Here is a 12,491-nt window from a genome sequence, read left to right as displayed (position 1 = left end):
TTTGTAAGGATTCAAATATAAAATAACTTCCTCTTTTCTGAGAAAGTAGCTTGGGAAGATAAAATCTCACCTTATGTTGAGTATATATGATATATAAAGTCTTTCACAATACCTAACATACAGTAGGTATTTAATAAATACCCTATACTTACTTTCCCTCCCCTCTCTCCTCTAGCTCTTCAGCTTTGAATAAAATCTAAGTTGTCCAGATGCTTAAGATAATGTGATTCAAAATAAATAACATGTGAATCTATCCCTGCTTAGAGTAAGTGGCATGGTCAGTATGACATTTCTCTAAGACTCCTCTAGTCCACAGTGAAAATCACATGAATTTCTGTCTCTCTCTATCTCAAACACACACACACACACACACACACACACACGCACACAAGACCACATAACCTTATAAATTACTTCTTTTACAGTCTTTATTTTCAGGGATTGTTATGAAGCATAATGACCAACATATCATAGAACAAACTTAAGTTCTATTTAGAAAATGAAGACTTTTGGACTCCAGATAGAAATGTTCTTCTCTACTCATATAGGACTTGGGAATTTCCCAAGAAAGAAATGAGTAACAACTTAATGTAGGATCTTCCTTCAGTGACTTGAATGAGGGTGGAGCAAGCTTTTTACATTAGTACAAGCATATTGCTAGGATATGCCTGATGGCCACTGTGCTGAGGAGGTAGAAATTAGGCCAGAGCCACTTCCATTTCCTTACCTTTTTTTTCTCTTTTGAGACAGAGTCTGGCTCTGTTGCCCAGGCTGGAGTTCAGTGGCACAATCTTGGCTCACTGCAACCTCCGCCTCCTGGGTTCAAGCAATTCTTCTGTCTCAGCCTCCCAAGTAGCTGGGACTACAGGCATGTGCCACTATGCCCAGCTAACTTTTGTACTTTTAGTAGAGATGAGGTTTTGCCAAGTTGGCCAGGCTGTTCTCAAACTCCTGACTTCAGGTGATCAGCCCACCTTGGCCTCCCAAATTGCTGGGATCACAGGCATGAGCCACTGTGCCCAGCCTCCTTACTCTTTAAAACACATCACAGCAATGTTTGTAAGATTGCAAGAGGAGGCCAGGCACAGTGGCTCACACCTGTAATCCCAGCACTTTGGGAGGCCGAGGCAGGCAGATCATGAGGTCAGGAGATCGAGACCATCCTGGCTAACACGGTGAAACCCTGTCTCTATGAAAAATACAAAAAATTAGCCAGGCGTGGTGGCGGGCACCTATAGTCCCAGCTACTGGGGAGGCTGAGGCAGGAGAATGGCGTGAACCCGGGAGGCGGAGCTTGCAGTGAGCAGAGATCGCACCACTGCACTCTAGCCTGGGTGACAGAGCGAGACTCCGTCTAAAAAAAAAAAAAAAAAAAAAAGATTGCAAGAGGTTAAGGAGGTGCAGCAGCCTGCCCCCATTCTCACTACAAATTTCCAATTATTATGACCAGCACTACCTCCATATTAAAATGAAGTTTTTCCCTATCGACTATGCCTTTTAGTTCATATTCTCCTATTCTGTGATTTCTCTGCTTGTAGAGTTCTGTCCATGATATTGAAAGAGACCAAGAAAGAGAGGAAAGCACAAATTCACAACATTTATAAAGTTAAAGAATTCTTCGAGATGGCCTAATTCAATGCTTCCTTGTCCATACATAATTAAGTGGAAAGGCCAGAGAGGTTATGAGGTGCACAGGGTTATAGACCCACACTAGAACTCCCAAGTTCTTGACTTGCTATATACATCCCACTACGCTGTGCTACTGGTTCCCTGCAAGCTCTCAGAACTCTTCTTATCCATGCTTCATACTCGGAGAGAGTGAGGCAAGGGCAGATCTTAAGGCCAGCTGAATGAAGTTCTTTACATTGCCACTAGTAGGATTCAGAAGAATCAGGAATACACAGAAAATGCAGAGTTAGGAAACGTCGTCTAGAGAGGGAGAATGGAACAGGATTTGGAAGTAATGGAAGGTCAAGACTGATGAGAGAGGGAAAGGCATTCCAGGTAGATAAAACTGATATTTGAAGTCTCCATGCAAAGAAAGAATGAGATATGTTGGTGAGGAGCACAATAACAAAAGTGATAAAAATATGGAATACTAGCTCAGGCCAACAATACTCAGATAATGGAGCGCATTTCATCTAACACTAATTTTCCTCCTCTAGCACAAAGAAGATATGGGATCAAATTAATATCTGAGAAGCATTATAAAAGAACTGAGATAATTTTAGCTGGAAAGGTATAAGGGAGATGTGGATCTTCCTTTCCACAATGAAAAGAAATGAGCTAGAATTGCCATTAGGAAATTAAGATTAGGCATTGGGGCAATCAGCTGTGCGCTTTTACCTGAAAGAGGCCAAAGAGTCAGGAAATCTTGAAACAAGGTCTGAAGGAGACACCCTTCAGCCTGGCATGAGTTAAGTTCAGTCCTGCCTGGAGGCAGAGGGAGGGATGAAATGTCCTGTCATAGAGTCTAGAAGTCTGGATCAGGGCCAATTCATGGAAACAAAGCATCTCATTATGGAGAGAGGTGGAGAACAGCAGGAAAAATCTCCAGCCTATTTGTCTGGGACTTCAGAGCAGTGTAGAAGTTTTCTGGCTTGATCAGTTTTAGACTCTGATGATAATAACAAAAACAAATTTCAGTTAAACCAAAATGAAAGAATTTCCCATGATAATGCCATGAATCTTGGATCTCACTCACTGGGGAGGTTAAAACACCTGAGAACAACCAGCATGAACAACTTAGGCACTGTTGAGAATGAAAACAGAGAGGGATAAAAATTATTGCTAAGTTGGATGCAGCCATAAAAAAGAATGAAATCACGTCCTTTGCAGCAACATGGATGTAGCTGGAGGCCATTATCCTAAGTGAACTAACACAGGAATAGAAAACGAAATACCGCATCTTTTCACTTATAAGTGAGAGCTAAACATTGAGCGCACATGGACATAAAGATGGCAACAACAGACACTGGGGACTACTGGAGAGGGGAAGGAGGGAGAGGGGCAAGGAATGAAAAACTATCTACTGGGTACTATGCTCATTACCTGGGTGACGGGATCATCCATACCCCAAGCCTCAGCATCATGCAATTTAAAAAAAATTATTGCTAAGTTGGAAATTTAGGATTCGACTCTGAGGCCTTGGAGCTTGTCAGGGAGGGTTGGTTAAGTGAGGGTCCTCCCAGCCTAGTGGCTATGCGAGAACTTGCTTCTGGGAACCCATGGTGAAGGCTGGGTGTGTCTGAGCGTGTGCTGAATTCCTGGCTTCAATGACAGACTACCAGGCGGCTGAAGAGTCTGTCATTGCTGATGTCATCATATTTACAAGATTCATAGGTCCCCTCTCCAGAATGAGGGCCTCTCTGCCCCTGCTGCCATCTCCCACCACTGTGTGCACTGTATGAAGAAGCAGAGCATCGTGGGAGGCAGGGTGAGGGACTCCTGGGCGTGTCTGCCCACTCCCACCCAAGGAATGAGGAAATGATTGCTTGGATAATTCACACTGCACTTCCACTGTCCTGGTCATGGCTTCCATGTTGCAGGCTACATTCAGCTAGATTTAACAGTAGAATGTTCTCATAAGTGTGCTGTGGTGTAGTGGTTACCATGGTTACCTAACAGTGGAATCCCCTCACTTTAGAAAATCTTCAAAGAGAGATTTTGTATTTATCTGGGATGGAGGCAGAAGTATGGATAAGAGGATATCTTAAATTTTCCTTTCTTTTTCTTTTTTTTCTTTTTTTTTGAGCGTGTGTGTGTGCGTGTGTTTTGTTTTGTTTTGTTGAGACAGGGTCTCGCTCTGTCACCCAGGCTGGAGTGCAGAGGCATGAACAGGGCTCACTGCAGCTTCAACGTCCTGGGCTCAAGCAATCCTCTCACCTCAGTCTCCTGAATAGCTGGGACTACAGGCACGTGCTCCCACATCTGGCTTTTTGTTTTTAGTAGATACGGGGTCCTACTATACTGCTCTGGCTGGTCTTGAACTCCTGGGCTAAAGTGATCCTCCCGCTTTGGCCTCCCAAAGTGCTGGGATTACATGCATGAGCCATTGTACCCAGCCTCAGATTTCTATTGAAATACTCTACAATACTTTTCTGTCCTGTGCCTGTTAAAATCTATTTAAATTATCTTCCTGCCAACATCCTAGGGGTTCAAAAGAGTGTGGGTGCTTCGTCCGACTCCTTCAAGTAATTGTTTCTAGGCTCTGCCTCTAGAGATGCCATTAGAAAACTGATAGGCATGGGGAACCAGCTTCTCCCCAGAGAGTGAAACTCCCAAGCAACCAGTCCCACATTCCTCTCTGACTCATGCTCCCAACCCCCCACTGTGCCCTAAAGGTCAGTGGGCTGGGAAACAGGCCACATCTAGGACAACTGCTGCTGGAATAAGATGTCTATCCTGATAGCCAGGACTTACCTCCTCCCATCCTCAGCCCTGGGTAACTCCCTGGCCCGTGCCCCAAGTATTGTGATAAGATGCTACCAGTGATAAGAAGAGGATAGTCAACAAGGAATCTACCCTAGGGCTGACAGCCTCACTGGGGAGGTCATATCACAGGCTCCATGGATCATCTCTGATTCCTCCACTTGCCATAGCAGAGCATCCCCCTGGCCCCTGAGGAGGAGACACTTCTCATTATCTGAGTCAGTGGATGAGAGCAGAGGCCACATGATTTTGTCATTTGCTGAGTGTCTGCCATGTGCCAAGTCCTATGCTAAGTGCTAAGTATTCAATGGTGCACAAGCCTTGTATGTAGCTTACTGTCTAGTAGTAGAGGCCACCATTAAACAGTTTCACAAATGTAATTAGTGTTACAAAGAGAAAAGAGAAGTGAAATAAATCCTCATTGCTTTATCTTTGGATACCTACACTCATACACATACATACAAACACACCCTTTGAGTCTATCCCTGATGCTTGCTCTGACTCAGTGTTTCTGTCAAACCCAAGGCAGTGGAAGTATGGAGTCTGCAAAAATCCACAAAGTGGATAGTGCACAAATCAGGAATAAGGAGTTGACCCTATGCCAGTATGAAAATTCACCCCTGGCTATAAGTCTAGATATAAAAGTCATATCAAAATTGGTCACAAAATTCTATTTACACATCTAGGTTGAATAAATTTTATCTTCACTTCCTCAAAGCCACCCATCTCTGAAGCAAACGAGGCAAAAAAAAATTTTTTTAGAAACCAGAGGTGCACGCAACCATAGGGAAGAGAGGCCTTAAAAGATGGGTTTGAGTCACCCTTGCTTCCTCTCTCTATGTCCCGTTCTGATATCACTGAGTCTGGCCTGCAGACAGAGCTTTGGAGAGTCTTCTCATTCATTTCACTGCCTTCAAAATCTGCAGACAAATGCTAATTGACCCTATTCTTCTAGATCCTCAGATAGAGGGACTGCCCAGTTTCCTTCAGTAAACCATGCTGTTGGAAAGTTCTTCTTTGCTAATTCTATTTATTATTTCTCTACAAAATTAATTCCTTTCTTGATATTTTGTCTTTTAAATCTAAATATGCCAAGGGGAAGAGGTAGACACATTATAATATTTCCCCCTCATAATCTGAAAAGTATAAAAGCATAAACAATTTGAAAAGTGACCACCTCTTCTTTCTGCTTCAGAGAAAATTCCAGCAGAGGTTCAAGGTGAAAATATCACAAAAATTTGGGAAGCTAGGGCTGGGACTCTTCTCCTCTGCCATCAGTTAGCATAACCCAGGTTTGGAAGACCTCTGTGCAACAGGCTGGGAAAAATCCAGGGGCAGTTTCTAGGTGGTATTTCCTTCCTTCAAGTAAGGTGACTCCAGAAAGTTAAAGGTCAAGGGATAGATGCCAGGTGTAAAAGTTTCTTTGCTTTACTGTGAAACCTTTTCATACAGAAAAAATGGGTAGGCTGAATGAGGCAAGGAGCATGTGGCTGGTTAAGTTAAATTCTGCAGGCCATCATATGATTCCAGAATAGAACGAGGCAAAACAAAGTGTGGAGTCCATTTGGACAGATAATTACAACTGAAATTTAAACAATATTATAGAAAAATCTAGACATTAGGTTTACATTATACTTGGTCTTTATGCTTTACTTCATGTGAGAGGAGCACCTTAGTCATATAAAGTCAGAGTCCCAGAAACCTTAGTCTCTTGTTCTCAAAAGCTAAGGGGAAGAATAAACATTTTAGCCCTCCTGAAATTATTCTATTTATGGCCCTGCCTTCAGCTAGGAAGACACATCCTAGGTTGGTCATTTAGGTCCTCTAGCAATTTCATCCTAATTTCTCACTAAACCCATTTCTTTGGAATTTTCCAACTTAGAGCTATGCTTCAGCCAAGATAACACTTTCACTAACCCCCATAGCCTGACTCTTCTCACATTTAAGCCTCAGACTGAACAATGAATGTCTCTCATCACCTAGAGTGTTGTCTTCACAGACTGCTTCCCACAATCTCCCATCAAAACCCAGCTCAAATCCTTTTCTTGCAGAGTCTTCCCTTATAACTGCAACTAATTGAGATTACTTCTTTACTCCAGTTTAACTTAGCCATTTAGTTTCAACAACATGTAATTACATAAGCCTGCAGGTGAGTTCACATGTATGTGTTTCTATGGGACAGTGGGAGATTAGACTATCTAGTTTCCCCACTCCTCTCCTTGGGGTTCTTCAGTAAACGCTAAAATTATTTTTGAGATGGACTAACTGCTCATCACAGAATGAGACACAAAAACTATTCTGTATCAAGTTCTGAGAGATGGGCCAAAGATGAATAGCAATTTCAAGAATGGAGAGAATGGCTTACAGAGAAGAGATATCCTAATTCTGTACTCCATCAGAATTCACACTTATGACATTGTTTGGGAGCATTTGATTAAGTGTTTCTAGTATCAGACCAATATCTAAACTCCCATTCAGAAGGAGCATCGAGTATAAGCTTTATACAGGGGAGAAGCATGGTAACCTATAGCAGCGCCTAGCACATAACGCAGGCTCAGCCAGCATTTGTGGAAGGAAGGAAAGGTTGAAAGGGGGGCCTGAGAGGGCAAGGAAGGGATTGAGAGGGTCAGTAGGTTCTAAATCTCTCTTTATTGTCACTTGCTAAAGTTGGTTGACTTTCCAAGCAAGAGAAAGCCAGTCAATGATTTCTCTGACTAGAGGAACTGGAAGCTATGGGGATGAATATGAACTCTGGTTAACAGGAAAAGGAATATCAGTATGGGGAAGTTTCCCATACAATGGAAAACAAGATACAGATAAACAGAGAATTAATGCTGGAGTACCATCTTCGCTATCAATGCTGGGAGAATGAGGGGTAAGGACATTTATGGAAGCTAGTTAAAGTAGACTTTCCAGAGGAGGAAGAGGAGATAATAGACCAGAGCTTGGCAAGAACGAAGCTACAGGATTGAGCACACAAGAATAGGACAGAACAGAACAGCCGTGCAGACCATCAGAAATGACACAGGGTAACTATGGAAGGTTTATCTTAGCATGAAAAGGCTTTGTTGAAAGTCAGGAGAACTGAAATGGTGGGAGAGTGAGTAGTTGATGGGAGTACTGAGGAATGAAGATGAGCTTGATAAAGCTATACAACTCTGCTGCCATGGACATAAAAATGGGAGAACAAGGAAGAGTGTAAACTCTCTTTACAGGTGGGAGGGGGTTAAGAACTGAAAAACTCCCTACTGGGTATTATGCTCACTTCCTGGGTGAAGGGTTCAATTGTACTCCAAACCACAGCATCACATAATATACCTTTGTAACAAACCTGCATGTGTAGCCCTGAAATCTAAAATAAAAGTTGAAAACAAGAAAAAAAAACCTGGCTCTATTATCCAAATTAATTTATATTTCTTGAGCATCTCCTATGCAAGGCATTATGTTAAGCCCAGGAATATAAAGGGATATACAGTTAAAACATAAACAATCTTGGGGGAGTTAGTTTCAAATTGATACAAGATGGCAGAGAATAAGGAGGAAAAAAAGAAGAGAAAAAAATATATACAATTTCCACCTTCTCATAACCTACAAAATAGTAAAAGAGATAAATACATATGTAAATATTATTCTAGTAGTATAATAGAGACTCAAACAATGTGACACTATAGTTGCAGGAGGGTCAGAAATAATTCTCGCTAGAGCGATCTGGGACGTAATCTTGGAGAAGATTTTAAGCTAGGCTTTAAATGAAGGATCAGATCTTGGCAAGTTGATGAGGAAAGGATGGCATTCCAGACAGAAAGAATAGCACATGCAAAGGTCTGGAGGCATAGAACAAGTTGAAGAAACTCAAGTAGACCCATGAGATTGCAGTCTAGGTTATGTAAAAGAATGTTGATCCCAATATTATTGTCGCCGTGGAGGGCTCTGAAGATCAAGCAACAGAATTCTAATTTTATTATCTGTATATTGGAAAACCAGGTAATTAAGAGATGCACCATATTTCTTTGAAATTTCCAGATAACCAACTCATTTTCTGAAGTTTGAGAATCAATAATGTCCTAGTTATTATAGGAAAATGAGATTTCACATGGACTCCATCATGGAAGCTGCTGTCTTTCTCAAGCTCATTTGCTCCTATACAACTCCACTGCCACGGACACCAAGGAAGAGTGTAAAGTCTCTCAGAAGAGAGAGGCCTTTAACAGAAGAGATTTTAATCCACTGAAGAAGGTGACAGTAGTAATAGCTCTGCTCTCAGTCAGGAGGCTCATTGAGACAGATACACAACATCCCTCCATGGACACAGGCAGACAGTAGATCACAGAAATAAGTGCAAATAATACAATGTTGAGGAACTATAGAATAGTACAGTCCTTGGAGCCAGGGAAGGCCAATTAAGAAAGTTTTCTGGTGGAAGTGAGCTCAGGTAGGACTGGGTATCTACAAAGAAAATGGACAAAGTTGGACAGGGAGGATGGAGAAACAGTACCTGGAGTAGGAGAGGAGGAAACTGGCCTGTATACATGTTTGGAGGCAAGTATGAACAAGCACATGCAATGAGCATCATGTGTGAGAGACAGAAGAATGAACTCAGCTGGAATGGAGAGTCTGTAGCAAGAACTAACACGGATCCAGTCTGCAGGTAGACCGGTTTCCAGCACAGCAGCCTGGGTTAACATTGGATACTACCCCTGGCCTCTCCAGAGGGAATGATAGGAATTTCAGTCTTTCTTTTCTCCTTATATTTTCATGAGACATGGGTTACATTTCTAGTTGTTCTGGAACACTGACTCATCCTTCTGTAATGAATGTGAGTGTCCTAGGGTATGATGCTGTCTATTGTACTGAGGGACAAAGTGAGGCCACAGCAAAGGAGACTATTAGGCCCAAACTCAAATTATAATTAAAAACTAAGCTCTGGCCAGGTGTGGTGGCTCACAACTGTAATCCCAGCACCTTGAGAGGCCGAGGTGGGAGGATTGCTTGAACCCAGGAATTCAAGACCAGCCTGGGCAACATAGTGAGACTCTGTCTCCGCCAAAAAAACAATTAGCCAGGTATGGCGGCACACGCCTATAGTCCCAGCTACTCAGGAGGCTGAGGTGGGAAGATCGCTTGAGCCCGGGAGGGCGAGACTTCAGTGAGCTGAGACTGCACCACTGCACTCTGCCCTGGGTGACAGAGTGAGACCCTGTCTCAAAAACCAAACAAAACCAAACCACTAAGTTCTGTTGGGCTTTTGTGTTCTCTGGTATTCCTATATTCCCCTGCACACAGGAATGTTGAATTCTACCTAAGCCAAGGGAGGAAGTGGTCAGATGTGGAGGTAGAGGTTATTACAGGATACTGCAGAAGGCCTGATATGCTGCCTCTCATAGCCCAGGCTCCCTAGGTTAATGCCCACATTCTCATTTCTAATCCCGTCTACAGTCACAGATACAAGTGGCCACAATGGAAATTTCCCCAAAAGTCTGAATGCTGGAGTAGAAACTGCCCGTTGACCATTCTAAGCAACCAGTGAAGTCATGTTGACCCTATACCATGAGGGAAAAACTGAGTCTAAATTTTGTTGAGTAGAGCAGAACTTTCAGACAGCCCAACTGCAATTAGAAGCTGGGGACCAAGGCGTCCCTGAAACCCAGCTAGGGAATCTTTCCCTCATGTTCTCTCTAAGCTTCACATTCCACCATATAACACAGTAAAAAAGAGATTGCCCCATACCCTTCTGTAGGAAAAAGGTACATTTTGGGATGGTTTGGAGGCATCAAAATGGTAAGCAATTTCAGGGTACAATTAAGACCTGGCTGTTCAACCCTACAATAAATTACCATCAAAGGCACTCACACGTCAACAGGGGAAAAAAACACATGTGCTTGCAAGACAATGTGTGTTTGATGCTCATAAAAAAGATAAAAATATAGGTCATCATCATGTAACGAGCTTGTAGGTGTCAGAACGTGTGCTGTTGGGGGAGGTAGGGGAGAGAAATGGAGAGGGATCAGCAAACCAAGAAGGAGCTGAAGTCAGACTCCTATCCCCAAGTTCTTCCCTTCTGCTGAAGACAGTGGACTGGCAGTAAGGGAGTGAAGGACCCCTCCCCCATTTTCTTTTTCTTGGGACATCCCCTTTCCTGCTCCCCCCAGCTGGATTTCCGACATATTAATCATGTCTCTCATTTTGAAATCAGCCAGTCAGGCTATTATTCAAGCATTGTTAATGACACCATCGGCCAAGGTATCAATTAGGCAAGTTGGGATAAGAAGAGCAGAGAATAGGGCTGGCCAGAGAGCAGAACACAAATCTGTTTTGGTGTAGGTAACCCAAACGGCAGCAAGGGCTCCTAATGCTCTTATTTCTACTCCTCTTAGAGGCAACCTCAAACGCACTGAATTCTCCAGTCAAGACCCAAGCCAAACTGTTACTTCATAGTATCCCCTCACTTGCTCCCTCAATTGACCCTTAACTGGACTTCAGCTAGTCACATCAAATCACTCAGGATATGCAGGAACAGGGTCACAGCTAACTAGCTCTGGGCAGCGCTTATTCCTGTGGCTGAGGCCCAACATTATGGGAGAAAATGCTTCCTCCACCATGCTTATGCTGGCTGCCTTGGGTGGAGTTTCTTCTCCTTTGCCACAATATGCATTCTAAAGGTCCTTTAAAATCTAGCTCAACGTTTTTTTTTTTTATCAAGGAAGCTTTTGTTCTAATGAAGAAAGTCTTTATATTTGTTGATTCTTAGTTCTTAAATCTGATTATTGTTTTCCCCATCAGGCTGAGTTTCCCAATGACTACAGCTATTAATAATTCTTTTTTTTTCTTTTTTGCTAGATCTCCCTGCCTCCCACACCTACCAATACTCCTTTTCTCTGTCAAGAAAGGCTCTGTTCAAAGGGGCTATTCAGAACAAATAGGTGTGACAGGTACTCAGGTCACTGAAGTTTGGATCCTGGAGAAAGGACAAAAATAGAGATTAGAATAGAAACTGCAGCAAAGTAGGAGTCCAAGCAGTCATCAAGACCTCCAAGTTCCTTCCCATTATATACCCAGGGAAGTCTTCAGAGCATTGTGTTTCTAGACTCCAGTCTCCCTGAGTCACTCCCTGGTTTCCTGTCACCCTTTCATTCTCAAGACAGACACAAGGTTCTCCCTGGCTTTCTTCCACACCCACCAATTATCCAGATCTTCAGAAAGATGAAGGACACTAAGGACAAAAGGTCAATGTTTCACATTTTAAGTGTCTCTGGACCCAAAGAAGGTGGCTGGGTCAATTAAGTTTCAAACACCACAACCAAAACTAGAAATCTCAATAAAAAACAGTCACATTTGGAGTCTTGACATTAAACTTACCTAATTACATTGGCTAGGAAAGTGAACACGCTTCTCAGCTTTCCCCAAAAAACTCAGCAAATTGAATTCCCTTTCGTCCTTGTTCCACCTCTTGTTTCTCCTTTAAGATCCACCCTACTGGCCGGGCACACGGGCTCACACCTGAAATCCCAGCACTTTGGGAAGCTGAAGCGGGCAGATCACTTGAGCTCAGAAGTTTGAGACCAGCCTGGGCAACATGGCAAAACCCAGTCTCTACTAAAAATACAAAAATTAGCTGGGCATGATGGCACACGCCTGTAATCCCAGGTACTCAGGGAGGCTGAAGCAGGAGAATCGCTTGAACCCAGAAGGCAGAGGTTGCAGTGAGCTGAGATCGTGCCACTGCACTCCAACCTGGGCCACAGAGTGAGACCCCATCTCAAAAAAAGAAAAGAAAAGAATAATCTGCCTACAACTTTCATTCTATGCTCCAAAGCACTGAGCTGATAGAAAAATGAAGAAATAGGCTGGTTGCAGTGGCTCACACCTGTAATCCCAGCGCTTTGGGAGGCCAAGGCAGGCAGATTATGAGGTCAGGAGTTCGAGACCGACCAGCCTGACCAACATGGTGAAACCCCATCTCTACTAAAAATACAAAAATTAGCTGGGCGTGGTAGCAGGCTCCTGTAATCCCAGCTACTTGGAAGGCTGAGTCAGGAGAATCACTTGAACCCGGGAGGCGG

At 43.1% G+C, this 12,491-nt stretch overlaps 1 long non-coding RNA gene across 7 annotated transcripts in view, besides 2 other annotated features; it reads right to left on the bottom strand.

The window, feature by feature from the left end:
* The window catches only part of LOC105378250 (uncharacterized), a 158,791-nt gene that overhangs the window by 26,215 nt on the left and 120,085 nt on the right, over positions 1–12,491 (bottom strand). Inside the window, exon 4 of one of the 7 annotated variants that reach the window (NR_189099.1) lies at positions 11,292–11,386. The exons of the other annotated variants lie outside the window; for them this stretch is intronic. This is a non-coding gene — a long non-coding RNA (uncharacterized LOC105378250). The remainder of the gene's footprint in view (positions 1–11,291; positions 11,387–12,491) is intronic. 7 annotated transcript variants of the gene reach the window in all.
* Positions 2,764–3,963: an enhancer, noted in NCBI's record as "MED14-independent group 3 enhancer chr12:54261991-54263190 (GRCh37/hg19 assembly coordinates)". NCBI's record gives its function as "activates an origin of replication core promoter dependent on BRD2, BRD4, P300/CBP and CDK7 cofactors, and independent of MED14, by STARR-seq in HCT116 cells {active_cell/tissue: HCT116}" and the evidence as "EXISTENCE:reporter gene assay evidence [ECO:0000049][PMID:35650434]".
* Positions 4,182–4,351: an enhancer, noted in NCBI's record as "experimental_29403 CRE fragment used in MPRA reporter constructs". NCBI's record gives its function as "activates a minimal promoter by MPRAs in K562 erythroleukemia cells, with activity observed for both the introgressed and non-introgressed 12:54261688 variant alleles {active_cell/tissue: K562}" and the evidence as "EXISTENCE:reporter gene assay evidence [ECO:0000049][PMID:34662402]".

The sequence above is a fragment of the Homo sapiens genome, chromosome 12 (assembly GCF_000001405.40).
Source record: "Homo sapiens chromosome 12, GRCh38.p14 Primary Assembly".
Lineage (NCBI taxonomy): Eukaryota > Metazoa > Chordata > Mammalia > Primates > Hominidae > Homo > Homo sapiens.
The sequence above is the reverse complement of the archived record's forward strand: the minus strand, read 5'-3'. Positions and strand labels throughout refer to the sequence as shown.